At 43.6% G+C, this 12,241-nt stretch overlaps 1 protein-coding gene across 3 annotated transcripts in view, besides 2 other annotated features; it reads left to right on the top strand.

The window, feature by feature from the left end:
• Positions 1 to 9,145, top strand: part of RCSD1 (RCSD domain containing 1) — a 78,465-nt gene extending 69,320 nt beyond the window's left edge. For all 3 annotated transcript variants that reach the window (NM_052862.4, NM_001322923.2, NM_001322924.2), the window contains one exon: positions 5,113 to 9,145. In NM_052862.4, the coding sequence (NP_443094.3) occupies positions 5,113 to 5,145 (33 nt within the window). In that variant the 3' untranslated portion in view covers positions 5,146 to 9,145. The remainder of the gene's footprint in view (positions 1 to 5,112) is intronic.
• Positions 5,721 to 6,015: a silencer, noted in NCBI's record as "tiled region #8181; K562 Repressive non-DNase unmatched - State 18:Pol2". NCBI's record gives its function as "represses a minimal TATA promoter and a strong SV40 promoter by Sharpr-MPRA in K562 cells {active_cell/tissue: K562}" and the evidence as "EXISTENCE:reporter gene assay evidence [ECO:0000049][PMID:27701403]".
• Positions 7,597 to 7,796: an enhancer, noted in NCBI's record as "active region_2051". NCBI's record gives its function as "activates an Ori minimal core promoter by ATAC-STARR-seq in GM12878 lymphoblastoid cells {active_cell/tissue: GM12878}" and the evidence as "EXISTENCE:reporter gene assay evidence [ECO:0000049][PMID:35858748]".
• Positions 9,146 to 12,241: the final 3,096 nt, after the last annotated feature.

The raw sequence follows: 12,241 nt of genomic DNA on the forward strand, positions 1-12,241 counted from the left end.
CCTCCTCCCCCTTATAAAGATGTCAGTCATTAGATGTAGAGTCCACCCTAAATCCAGAATGATCTTGTCTTGAGATTCTTAGTTACATCTGCAAAGAACCTTTTTCCAAATAAGGTCAAATTCACAGGTACTATGGGTTTGGATTGGATGTACCCACCTCTCCCTGACTCTCCCCCTCACTGTGATCCAGCCATGCTGAGGTCTTTTTGTTCTTCCAATACAGCAAGCTCATTCCCACTTCAGAGCTCTATCCTTGCTGTCCCCTCTGTGTGGGACATTCCTTCTGATCCTTACAGGGCCGCTTCTTACCCACGGCTCAGAGCTCAGCTCAGATGGTCCCTTCTCACTGAGGCCTGTCTGTGCCACTCAGTCTAAGTGGACCTCCCTCCATCCCATCAGTTATTTTCTCCCACGATTCTACTTTTATCATAGAACACATCACTATTTGAAATTCTCCTGTGTATTTTTTAATTGTATTTCTCTACTCCTTTTCCTCACTGCATCTCCAGCACCTGCTACAGAACCTGGAACATAGTAGGTTCTTTAAAAAAATCTTTGTTGAGTGAATGAATGGATTTTAAAAGAAGACAGAAAATTGTCTGACCCAAAAGAAATAATCTCTAATGATAGAAGTACAGGTAGAAGAGGAACTGATGTGTTTAGGGGATCTCCTGGGGCCCTCACGTTATTCTCACTCACGCTAGATCAGGGAGAAAAATGTGTGAGTCCCAAAGACTCATAAAGTATGACTGAGACCCCTGGGTTAAGTTGTTAGGCAGAGGTGCTCCAGATTTCTTTAACATCTTCCATTCCAGTGCCAGGCGTGGTGGCTCACACCTGTAATCCCAGCACTTTGGGAGGCTGAGGCGGGTGGATCACAAGGTCAGGAGATCGAGACCATCCTGGCTAACACAGTGAAACCCCGTCTCTACTAAAAATACAAAAAAAAATTAGCCAGGCGTGGTTGTGGGCGCCTGTGGTCCCAGCTACTTAGGAGGCTGAGGCAGGAGAATGGCGTGAACCTGGGAGGCGGAGCTTGCAGTGAGCGGAAATCGCGCCACTGCACTCCAGCCTAGGTGACAGAGCAAGATTCCGTCTCAAAAAAAAAAAAAAAGCACAACAACAACAAAAAAACTTTCCATTCTAAGTAAGCAATCTTTACATTTAGGATTTTCTGGAACTGAGAGATTCCACCAGGTCTAGAGAAGGCAAATACATGCCCCAATCTGTTAGTCCTTTTTGAGGATGAAGTCACTGGGTCCAAGTAGTCACCTGCCAGTGGTTGCTACATCTTATTTTCAGGTTAGGAGACACCTGCCTTGCCAAGAGACCTCCCCATCTCACTGACAGCATCTTCCAATCCTGAAGGGTTGAAAAGTCACTTTGGTTGAAAAGCTAGTAGGGAAGAGGGCTGCTTCAGGGAGGTCTCAGGTAGAAGAAGTCTTCCTGCGGGAACTCCAGGAGCTCTGGGGCAGGCTCACTGGTAATCTCTCAAGCCTTGCCACTTCCGTATTCCCAACAGAGCCTTGGGCAGGGGAAGAGAATGCCCAGCAACCTCAAGAGCACTCTCCTCCCAAATAGGCAGCTCAGATGGAGAAAGAGTAGCTCCACTTCCATCTCTGAATGGAATGAGAGGAATGCTTTTCCTCTCGGTCATCTCTGAGATGCCAAACTTTGACGCCACTTAACCCAATTGCCTAGTTTCTTTCTTTCTTTCTTTCTTTCTTTCTTTCTTTCTTTCTTTCTTTCTTTCTTTCTTTCTTTCTTTTTTTTAGATGGAGTGTTGCTCTGTCACCCAGGCTGGAGTGCAGTGGCACAATCTCAGCTCACTGCAAACTCTGCCTCCCAGGTTCAAGTAATTCTCCTGCCTCAGCCTCCCAAGTAGCTGGGATTACAAGCCCGCACCACCATGCCAGGCTATTTTTTGTATTTTTAGTAGAGACAAGGTTTCACCATATTGGCCAGGCTGGTCTTACACTCCTGACCTCAAGTGATCTGCCCACCTCAGCCTCCCAAAGTGCTGGCATTACAGGAGGGAGCCACTATGCCCAGCCTAGTTTAGAGAGAGAAAGAAACCAAGGCTCCAAGAGAGGACAGGAGTTGTCCATGGTCACAGAGCTCAGTCAATGTTGACATATTAGGCACCTGCCCAATCATCAGAATAAACTGCTTACAAAGTACCTGTGCACGTGTGCATAATTTGTTTAATCTGGAAGAGGGCACTGTCTCCAGTCCTCCCTGTTCCTCTTAAACCAGGTCAAGGTCAGAATCAAAATGCCTGAGTCACTAGTGCAAAAGGAACCATCAGTAAGAACAATTACAAGGTTGACCCCTTGAGTTATGGGCTTCCTCAGGCACCCATGTCTGTCCCAGGTCTTTCCTGGATCCCCCAGAGGCAGCACACACCTCTAAGCAGTTTTCTAACCCCCTAACCTAATTCCCATCTTGTTCCTCTGTCGGTAGAAATAGATTGATCAGACAAACTAATTATGGTTGCATTCATGCAATCAGCATTTAACAAGCACCCGTTATCCCTACCACTATGTGAGATACTGGGAGTCAAAAGTGAAGAAGACAGAGGCATAAACAAATAACGACAAGGCAGTAGAATAAATGGGATTCTGCCCTAGAAGGGTGCTATGTGAAGCACAAAGGCTGGAGCAATTTGTTCTTCGAGAGAAAACAGGGGAAAGTTCCATAAGTGCGCCAAAGGCATCAGACGTGTGAAAGCACTATAAAGGGTCACCTTACTGTTAGGTTGCCCCTCACAAGTGTTTTAACATATCGTACTGAAAGAAGGAGTCATCCTGGGGATTTCAATCATAGGCAAGCTGGACGTATCAAGTCACTGCACTTAGGATTCTGTTTATAAGGAAAAGTCGCCCTGAAAAGAGGGCACAGAATCAGATACAACTCTAATACTTAAAATAAATTTAGCAAGTGTTATCTGGGCGTGGTGGCTCACACCTGTAATCACAGCACTTTGGGAGGCTGAGGCGGGCAGATCACTTGAGGTCAGGAGTTCAAGATCAGCCTGGCCAACATGGTGAAACCCTGTCTCTACTAAAAATACAAAAATTAGCCAGGGGTGGTGGCGTGTGCCTGTAATCCCAGCTATGCAGGAGGCTGAGGCAGGAGAATCGCTTGAACCCAGGAGGTGGAGGTTGCAGTGACCTGAGATCGAGCCACTTCACTCTGGCCTGGGTGACAGAGACTCCGTCTAAAAATAAATAAAATAAATACATAAATACATAAATACATAAATAAAAATTTATCAAGTGTTTCTCAAACACTCATTATGTATCCAGTATTGTGTAGGGCACTCAGCTATGCCAGAGACTAACTTACCCAAACAAAGACATTCGAAATATTTGGATATCAAATCTGAGACTTTGCTGTATTAACAATAAGTGCCGACTTCCTAATTGCCTGATTCAATTGCTTTCCAAGTCATTCCCCTTGGTTTCTCAACATTTGATTTGAAATTCTTTTCTCCCTGAGCTGATGAAATACATCCTTCTCTTGAGAATCCCCTACCTTTGTAACTTTGTAGTGTTAACATTGTTCTTTCTTTCTTCTCCCTCCTGGTTAACTGGCAGGTCAACAGACTCAGTTCTTGGCCCTATTTCTTCTCAGTTCTTTTGGGGACACACTCCCTGCATTCCCACCTCAATCATCCCTCAGACACATTAACTGTCCTTGCCAGAGATCCCTCTGTCTCTCCTCCTTTTCCCCTTTCCCACCCACCGCTCCTCCTTGACCCTCCTCAGCCCCGAGCATGACCAGCGCTTTGTGGGAGCTCAATCAATAATGGAATTGTGACCAGGCACAGTGCCTCACACCTGTGATCCCAGTATTTTAGGAGGCCGAGGCATGAGGATCGCTGGAGCCCAGGAGCTGGAGACCAGCCTGGGCAACATGGCACAACCCCATCTCTATGATGATACCAGTGCTAGCCTTTCTTTTCTATCTCTACAATCACAACTCATTCCTAACAGAATTCCTGGTTTCCAGACTCACCCTACACATCAGTGACAAATGCCTCTTCCTATAAATACCATAGGTTGTCTGCTCTCCTATCCCAAACCCTTTGATACTGCCCACTGGAAAATGGAGTTCATGCTCCTCCATGGGCTGGGCTTTGCCACATGCCTAACCTTCACTGTCTCCATGCTCCCCAATAGTGGGGCCGGGGCTCCAGCCAGCCTGCACCCTCCACCATTCTGCATTAGGCAAGGCATCTCCTCACCCACTCCCACAGCCTCTTTGCCCAAATGCCTGCACTGCCAGCTGAAATTGCCTGCAGCCCACTTTAACCCAGCCCTCACTGGTACCTGGAAGTCCTCTCACCACACCTCTATCTTCCCCTCCACAAGCCTTTTCTGATTGCTCTGAGGACAAATGCCCCCCTGCTCAGTATAATCCACTAGGATGGTCCACATCACACCCCACCTTGTACTGTGGTTACATTCCCAAATGTTTCCATTTCTCAGCAAAAGAACTGATGGGGACGAGGCTGGAGTCCTGGTACAGCTCCTAGCACAGAAGGATCTCAAAGTAATACCTTCGGAATGACTGTTGAATAAATAGCTACTTTACTGTCCTTTTACTCAAGTATTGGTCTTTTATTTTCAACTCTTTCTGTCCTTTTTCCATTTATATGCTGCCTAAGAATCTTGAGCAGTGTTTCAGGAGAGCACATTGAATGGGAATGAGTGAATAGGTAAGAGGCCAAGATAGAGGGAACTCAGGCATCAAGGGTGGGCAGGGTCACTTAGTACTGGACAACTCAAGCTCTGATCCCTGGGTTAAAATCCTGACTTCACCACTTACTAGCTGTGTGACCTAGGGGAAATAACCTCTCTGTGCCTTCATTGCCTCACCTATGATAGAGTTAATAAAAGTAACTACCTCATATTGCTTTTGTGAGGATTAAATAAGTCAATGCATAAAAAAAACTAAGTTGGGCACATAGCATTCTTATGACTATCATTCTTACTATTACTCCTACTGTTACTATTATTGCCAGATCCATCATCCCCAAGGAGGGATGCTGAGTGTCAGGATTTCCTCACCATTTTCCTAATTAATTCTTTCCTCCCCTGTTCACAGGATGACACTCCTGTCCAGGACACTAAAATGTGAAGAACAGCTCATTGTGCCCCAGTGATGAAGTTGCTGGACACATCTCTTTGCAGGTAGCAGCAACAGTTGTAGCAGCAGCAGACGAAGCCATTGCAGAGGCAGAATATGCTGAGTGTCTGGAGTCAGCCTGAAGACACAGGGTGGATTATTTCCTGGCCTCCACACCAAACGTTCCCTTGCAGATGGAGACTGAATCTGAGGGCAGCAGACTTTTATCAGCTTGAGTTTATGTCATTTGATGGACTTGGTTCAACAACAAGAACTTACTTAAAACAATGTACTGTGGTGATGAGTCCCAGGGGCACTGGTCAGCCTGTGGAGCCCTGGATGCTATCCACACCCACCTATCCCTGCAGCTAATTTAGCTGATCTCTAATTTAACTGAGCTCTAATTTAGCTGATCAGATTTTGCTTGGGTAAAGTTCCTTTTTAATGTTCTAAAGTGTTTACGGTTCTCAAATATCAGTTAAAAACTAATTTTAGGTGGCCATAAACATAAAATAGAAACCCTGTAAGTTACAGAAGACCCTAAATTGTATCAAAACCCTAGAGACAACTTTTCAATTTGATCCAAATTTGAACTGGCCAACCAGTCTTTAAAACACTGGACTAGAAGAGATAATGATTGAAACATTTAAAAAAAAAAAGTGCTCCATTCGCAGGAGCTTTTCCTGTCCTGTGGTTTTCCAGTTGGTGACCACCATGGGAGGTCGCTGGCTCGGCTCACTCCCTTCTCCCACCCTTGAGAATGTGGAGAACTCCCATGGAGAGGCAGAATGGCAGGAGGTTTCATGTCCCGCGTTGCATCTCCTCCTGAAAGAAAAGCAGTGATACCTGAATAATGCTGGCTCTCCGATTGATCCTGTGAGGATGAATTTGCATTTCCAGAATCCTTGAGCATGGATTAGATGTTTCCTGGGAGGTGCCTTGAGTACCATTATGTGCAAGCTACATAATTAAAACATTTTTCTTAGTTTCCCTGGGAAGCTTTTCTTGACTCACAGCCCAGGTTCTTCTGCCCAACACAAAAGGAGTGAGTTGGGGTCTTTAGTCTCTTCTTATTGGGTAGCTCTTGCTTTAATATTCTGTTTGGTGAGTGTAAGGGATTCTGCAAGGGACAGGGGGCCTGACTACCCAGTCTTTGACTTGTATCCTCTCCCCTCTTCATACACTCCTGCTGAAAAATGTTAATCCAAATACACATTTAAACTTAGGGTCGGTCCTTATTCTGATTTGAGTATTTTAATGTCTCAGTGTGCTGATTTGGTAGTTGGAAGAATTATTCTTCTGGAGGTCTGTTAGACTACATCCTACACTGACTTCAGAAAACAGTCTGTCAGACAAAAAGGCCTTATGTCACCACTGGTACCTCAGTTTCCTCATCCCATTTACAGTTTTTCTAACTCCAGGGTAGTGTTTAGTGTTAATATTTGGGATATATTTTTTTTCAAAACTGTTTTTAAGTAGTTTGTAATTTGTAACAAACTTGTAACCTGGTTGGGACTGATATTGTCATAGCTATGATAAACTTTGGATATTAGCAGAATTTGGGAGATGTGTGTGTCAATTATTTTGAGATCTATAAACTTGTCTGTCTATCTATCTAGCTGGCTAGCTTGCTATCAATCTAGCTACCATCCATTTATTGACAGAGAAGTCTACCCCTAAACAATACTTGGTTTTATTTATATATGTCTTTGGGTTGTTTATACACATGCACTATCTGGGCAAGTACTTTGTGAATATGTGCATGATTGTGAATGTGTGATGAAAAGGGCCACTTTACTTGAGGAAGGCATGGAACAGAAAGTATGGGGTTTAGATATGAAAAATGAAACTGCATTTTTCTTCTGGAGGGTCTAAACATAGTAGCAGACGAGAGAGGGGCAGTAAAAATGACAAGAATGTGACATTGCGGCACCATGCTTGTGGGCATCAGAATACCTTTCTATCCCCCAAGTCTCCTGTTAGTCACATTATTTGGTGTATTTTGTGAAAAAAATAGAGGCCCCATTCCCAGGGCTTGTTCATTAATAAAGGGGGCTCTTGGCAGGGAACTCATGAAGTACAGGGACTGATTTTTGTTGGTGCTGCAGCCCCACTGCTTAAAACTCTCCTTTCTCAAAGCAACCATGATCAGGTGTTTTATTTGCATGGTTGATACTGGAACTTCTAAATTTGGGATTAAAGAAATTCATCTGTGTCTTAGGTAGCACAAAGTTATTAACAGGCCAGGAAGACCTTGTTTCTTTCAGGCTTCCATAATGGGTTTGAAAGAAAACACGGATTCTTCTACAGCAACAGAGTTAAAGAAATAGTCATAGTCATTCTTCCACGATCTTTGTAGTCTAGCTTGAATTTCAAACTGTGTCCTTCCTTACTCCAGAGAGGGAGCAAGAAAAAAAACCTGGATGCTTTGAAGGGATCTGCCACTATTTAAAAGGGGATTAGGATTCTGTTTCAGCTGCATGTGGAACTAGGTAAGCTTCAGTGGCCTCAGAACTCCAGGCCCCTCACGGAGATCACCCTGAACAATGCCCAGTTTTTCATGCAGGTTTTGTCCTATGACCAGTTAACTACATGTTCAATAAATAAATGTCAAAGAAATAAATGCGTGAAAAGGCAACCAGTTCATCATCTTATGATTAGGTTTTCTTGATTAGGGATGTGTTTAGTACAGCTGAATGAACAAGTTCACCCAGCTGCTGGTGACAGAAACCCAACTCAAACTAGCTGATGAAAAACAGAACTATACAGATCAATGAATCTCTCCCCCTTTTTCAGCCTCATAGAACTGAAAAAAACAAACCTAAATACAGTCACCCAAGTGATGTCAGGAATCTCTCATGGTATTGGTCTCTGCTTTCCCTCGTATTGGCCATATTCTTTTTTTTTTCTTTTTTAAAAACTTATTTAATTAGTTTTCCTTAATAGTTGCAGCCAAGGCTGTCTCTTTTTTCTCTTCTTTTCTCTTCTTTTTTTTTGAATGAGACAGAGTCTCGCGCTGTCACTCAGGCTGGAGTGCAGTGGCACAATCACAGTTCACTGCAACCTCTGCCTCCTGCATTCAAGCGATTCTCGTGCCTCAGCCTCCCAAGTACTGCAGTTACTTTTGCACCAACCTAATAGCTCGGATTACAAGTATGCACCACCATGCCCAGCTAATTTTTGTATTTTTTAGTAGAGACCAGGTTTCACTATGTTGGCCAGGCTGGTCTCAAACTCCTGGCCTCTAGTGATCTGCCTGCCTCGGTCTCCCAAAGTGGGATTACAGGCATGAACCACCACGTCCAGCCAGTCATTTTCTTAAGTAGGTTCTTCCCAGCCTGCAAACCCAGTGAAAGGGCTTATTCTTTCACCATTACTGTGGGGAAAAAGTCCTGTAGAGGCTTTCCATAGGCCCTGTGTGACTCACGTGTCTATACCTGAATCAACTGTTACAACCAAGCAGATGCAGAGACTGCGTGCCCTCTCCTGGAGCTAGGAGCTAGGTGAGTCAATCCTGCACTTTCTCTACAAGGCTTGCAAAGGTGAGCAAGAAGATTCCCCAAAGTGAAATCAGGGTGCTGTTACCAAAAGAAGCTATGCTGGCAGGCAAAAAACAACAGCTGTTTCCCATAGGGCAAAACCTGAAACACCCAATTACTATCCCATTGTTTGCTTCAAAATTAAATTTTGTTTGACCCCAACTAGTTCTAGTCAAGTTTTTGCTCGATGGACCACGTGAAAAAAGGATAAACAATGTCTCTATATAATGCATGATCAGGTGGTTTATGAAGATGTCAAGAGCACTGAACAAAATCCAAATGCTCACATAAAATGGGATTAGGTTTCATAAGCCACCCAAGAAAATCAGTCTCATTATTTTATGTAATAATGTATTACTGTGCCCAGAGCTAACCTGTAGCTCTAGGGGAGTACAATGTGTTTGTATTATTCTTCATTGTACACAGTGCCTCAGACATAGTAGGTATTCAATAAATATTTGTTAAATCATGAATGACTGAATTGATTTCAGAGCTGAGATGGGATTATTTTCAACAGTCATCCCTGCTTAACACCTCTTTTATCTGACAGCAGACACCTGAAATGTCATCATTGGCTTCCTTCAATATGCAAATACTTCTGAGAGAGATCATTATTTGGAGCCTCCTTTGTCATTTACACCTTGGTGTGAGAAGTTTCTTGAGACCCTTCCCAGAGGGGGTTACAAAAGAGGAGCAAAGTGCACAAAATTCTAGGGTCAGGAGACACACTTTTCTGCCTTCCCAGTTTTGTTGGGGTAACCCAGGCTCCCCATGAGCCCTGTGCTGGATGTCCTGATCACAGTGGCTATGGATGCTGACAAGAGACCATTATTCCAGTTTTGCCCGCAAATCCCAGGAGAGCTGTGGGAATTCCAGCAAAGTCCCACTGTGGTCAAATGGGGCAGGAAACTGGTTCTTTGAGACTCCTCAGAGGAGGAAGAGATGATGAATGTATTACATGCCTCAGAGGGTAAAGGAAGCCAACAGTAAAACCACCCACATCCAAAACAGGAACTAAGAGATGTCTTACACATCCCCCTAATCCTGAAAAGCTGTGGGGCTTCTCCATGGGAGCTGAACACCCTCCGCCTGGAGCAGCCAGGAAGACACTATGAGGGAAGCAGGATGCCGAAGGAAGAGGTCAGAAAAGGCTAGGATTCTGGGCAGGCGCGGTGGCTCATGCCTGTAATCCTAGCACTTTGGGAGGCCAAAGCAGGTGGATAGCTTGAGGCTAGGAGTTCAAGACCAGCCAAGATGGTGAAGTCCCGTCTCTATTACAAATACAAAAATTAGCTGAGTCTGTTGGTGTGCCTGTAATCCCAGCTACTGGGGAGGCTGAGGCAGGAGAATCGCTTGAACCCGGGAGGTGGAGGCAGCAGTGAGCTGAGATCACGCCACTGTACTCCAGCCTGGGTGACAGAGTGAGACTCGGTCTCAATAAAAAAAAAAAAAAAAAAAAGGCTAGGATTCCCGCCCCCAAGTACTCCTGCAAGTAATATGACTCTAGTCCTTCATGATGTAGTTTTACATAGAAATTTAAGAAAGTGGCCAGGTGCAGTGGCTCACACCTGTAATCCCAGCACTTTGGGAGGCCAAGGTGGGTGGATCACCTGAGGTCAGGAGTTCGAGACCAGCCTGGCCAACACGGTGAAACCCCGTCTCTACTAAAAATACAAAAATTAGCTGAGCAGGGTGCCGCACACCTGTAATCCCAGCTACTCCGGGGGCTGAGGCAGGAGAATCGCTTGAACCTAGGAGGCGGAGGTTGCAGTGAGCCGAGATTGTGCCATTGCACTCCAGCCTGGGCGACAGAGTGAGACTGTGTCTCTAAAAAAAAAAAAAAAGAAAAGAAAGAAATTAGAGAAAGTTACTCTAACTTGGGTAAACCCCTAAGTCAGTTACCACACTTACCAGGTGCTTCTGTTTTAAAGAATGAGTGGACTGAATTGCACTTTAACCAGCATGCAGAAACAAAATTCTAGAATAATTATATGATTGGTACTCAAAGGATGGATATTGCCAAGACACAGATACTCATTCCCCCCCAAGAAAATAATAGCCTCTTCAAACAATAGGACCTCCAATACTAGTCACTGCTGTTTGACTATCTAAGGAAGCCACACATGCTAGACGGTGCCAGGCACATCCCCATCACAGTTGCACCTGGCCTCTCAGGAGTGATACAAACAGGCTTATTGACCACCTCTGGAAGCAGAAGGGATGGAGAAGCACAAAAGGGCCTGTTTTACATTGCTTCTAATTCTGTGTCTCCATTCTACCAAGAACAAAGAAATGCAGTTTCAAGACCCCTGTTTTCTTTGTGGCTTAAAAACGTTAATTATCCTAATTTTTTTCTCATTGTAAAAGCAATGCATCTTTATTTTAGAAAATTGGTGGAGGGGAAGAAAAAATTTTAAGAAGCAAACAAAAAAGTATTTTTAAGTCCACTATCTAGGGATAACTAATGTTACTATTTTATGGATATTCTTCTTTTTTTTTAGTGCATTATATACGTTTTGTTTTAATTCTTGGTTGGTGCAAAATTGGGATTTTACTATATCTAATTTTCTCTTTCTTTTTTGTAACATACTCTCATGAGCATGTCTTCATAAAGAATCACAAGTTTGATCATGAAAATGATACACTTTTGTGTTAACCAGAAACATCTGACCAGAACTAGGTCTGTATAAAACAGAGGGTAATAAGATGAACAGGTAATAAGACTCCTTGGTGAAAGTGAAGGTGTCCCAGCGGAGAGCAGTTCTTTCACAATCTACATCTGAGATTCATATTACCCCTCTGACCTCATGTACTCTCAGAACTTAAAAACAAGCAAAACCTTTTGAATGAAAAATGAAGAGGCTGAGGCAATTCCAAGAATTCATTAATAGTGATTCAATGAAGGGACTGCAAAATTCAGAGGGACACATGATCTAAACCTCATAAAAAGGATCACTGAGGGAAACCAAATAGAAATATGTTTAGTAAAATGTAGCTGAAGCTTTTGCTGGATATTGGACTAGAATCTGGAAAAAGACACAAATTTTCAGTCAGATCCAAGTTTCTGTTTAAATTGGAGGAAGGCTTGCTGTGCGTGACACAAGCCTACCAAGACAACTGCCATGGCCTTCTAGTCCATTAGTACATAACCCCACAAGCAGCAAACAAGGCTCAGCATATGAGCATGAGGCCAGTCTTGTGTGCCAAGTTAGCGAGAAGGTTCCTTGGAGTGGTGAACCCATGTAATTAATTGTATTCTTATTCCTAAGGACTGATCTTGCTAGACAGAGCCAAGTCTGCACCACCTAAGCCTAAATTGGGTAAGAATTCAGTAGCCAGCAAATCTTAGTTATTAAATAGTCACTGAATCCCCATTACAAGTGATTTAAATGCCCATTCACAGTTTCAATAATGTCATCCCAGAGTTATTCTAATCATCTCCTAATGGATTTACTAGTTTTCTAATTTCTTTTACTCCCTTTTATGCATCTGACCCCAAGTCAAAATTGTTATCATCAACAATACTTATTATCAGCATTCTCAAAAGCTTTGATGCCATCAAAACCCTT

The sequence above is a fragment of the Homo sapiens genome, chromosome 1 (genome assembly GCF_000001405.40).
Source record: "Homo sapiens chromosome 1, GRCh38.p14 Primary Assembly".
In the NCBI taxonomy this organism is placed as follows: Eukaryota; Metazoa; Chordata; class Mammalia; order Primates; family Hominidae; genus Homo; species Homo sapiens.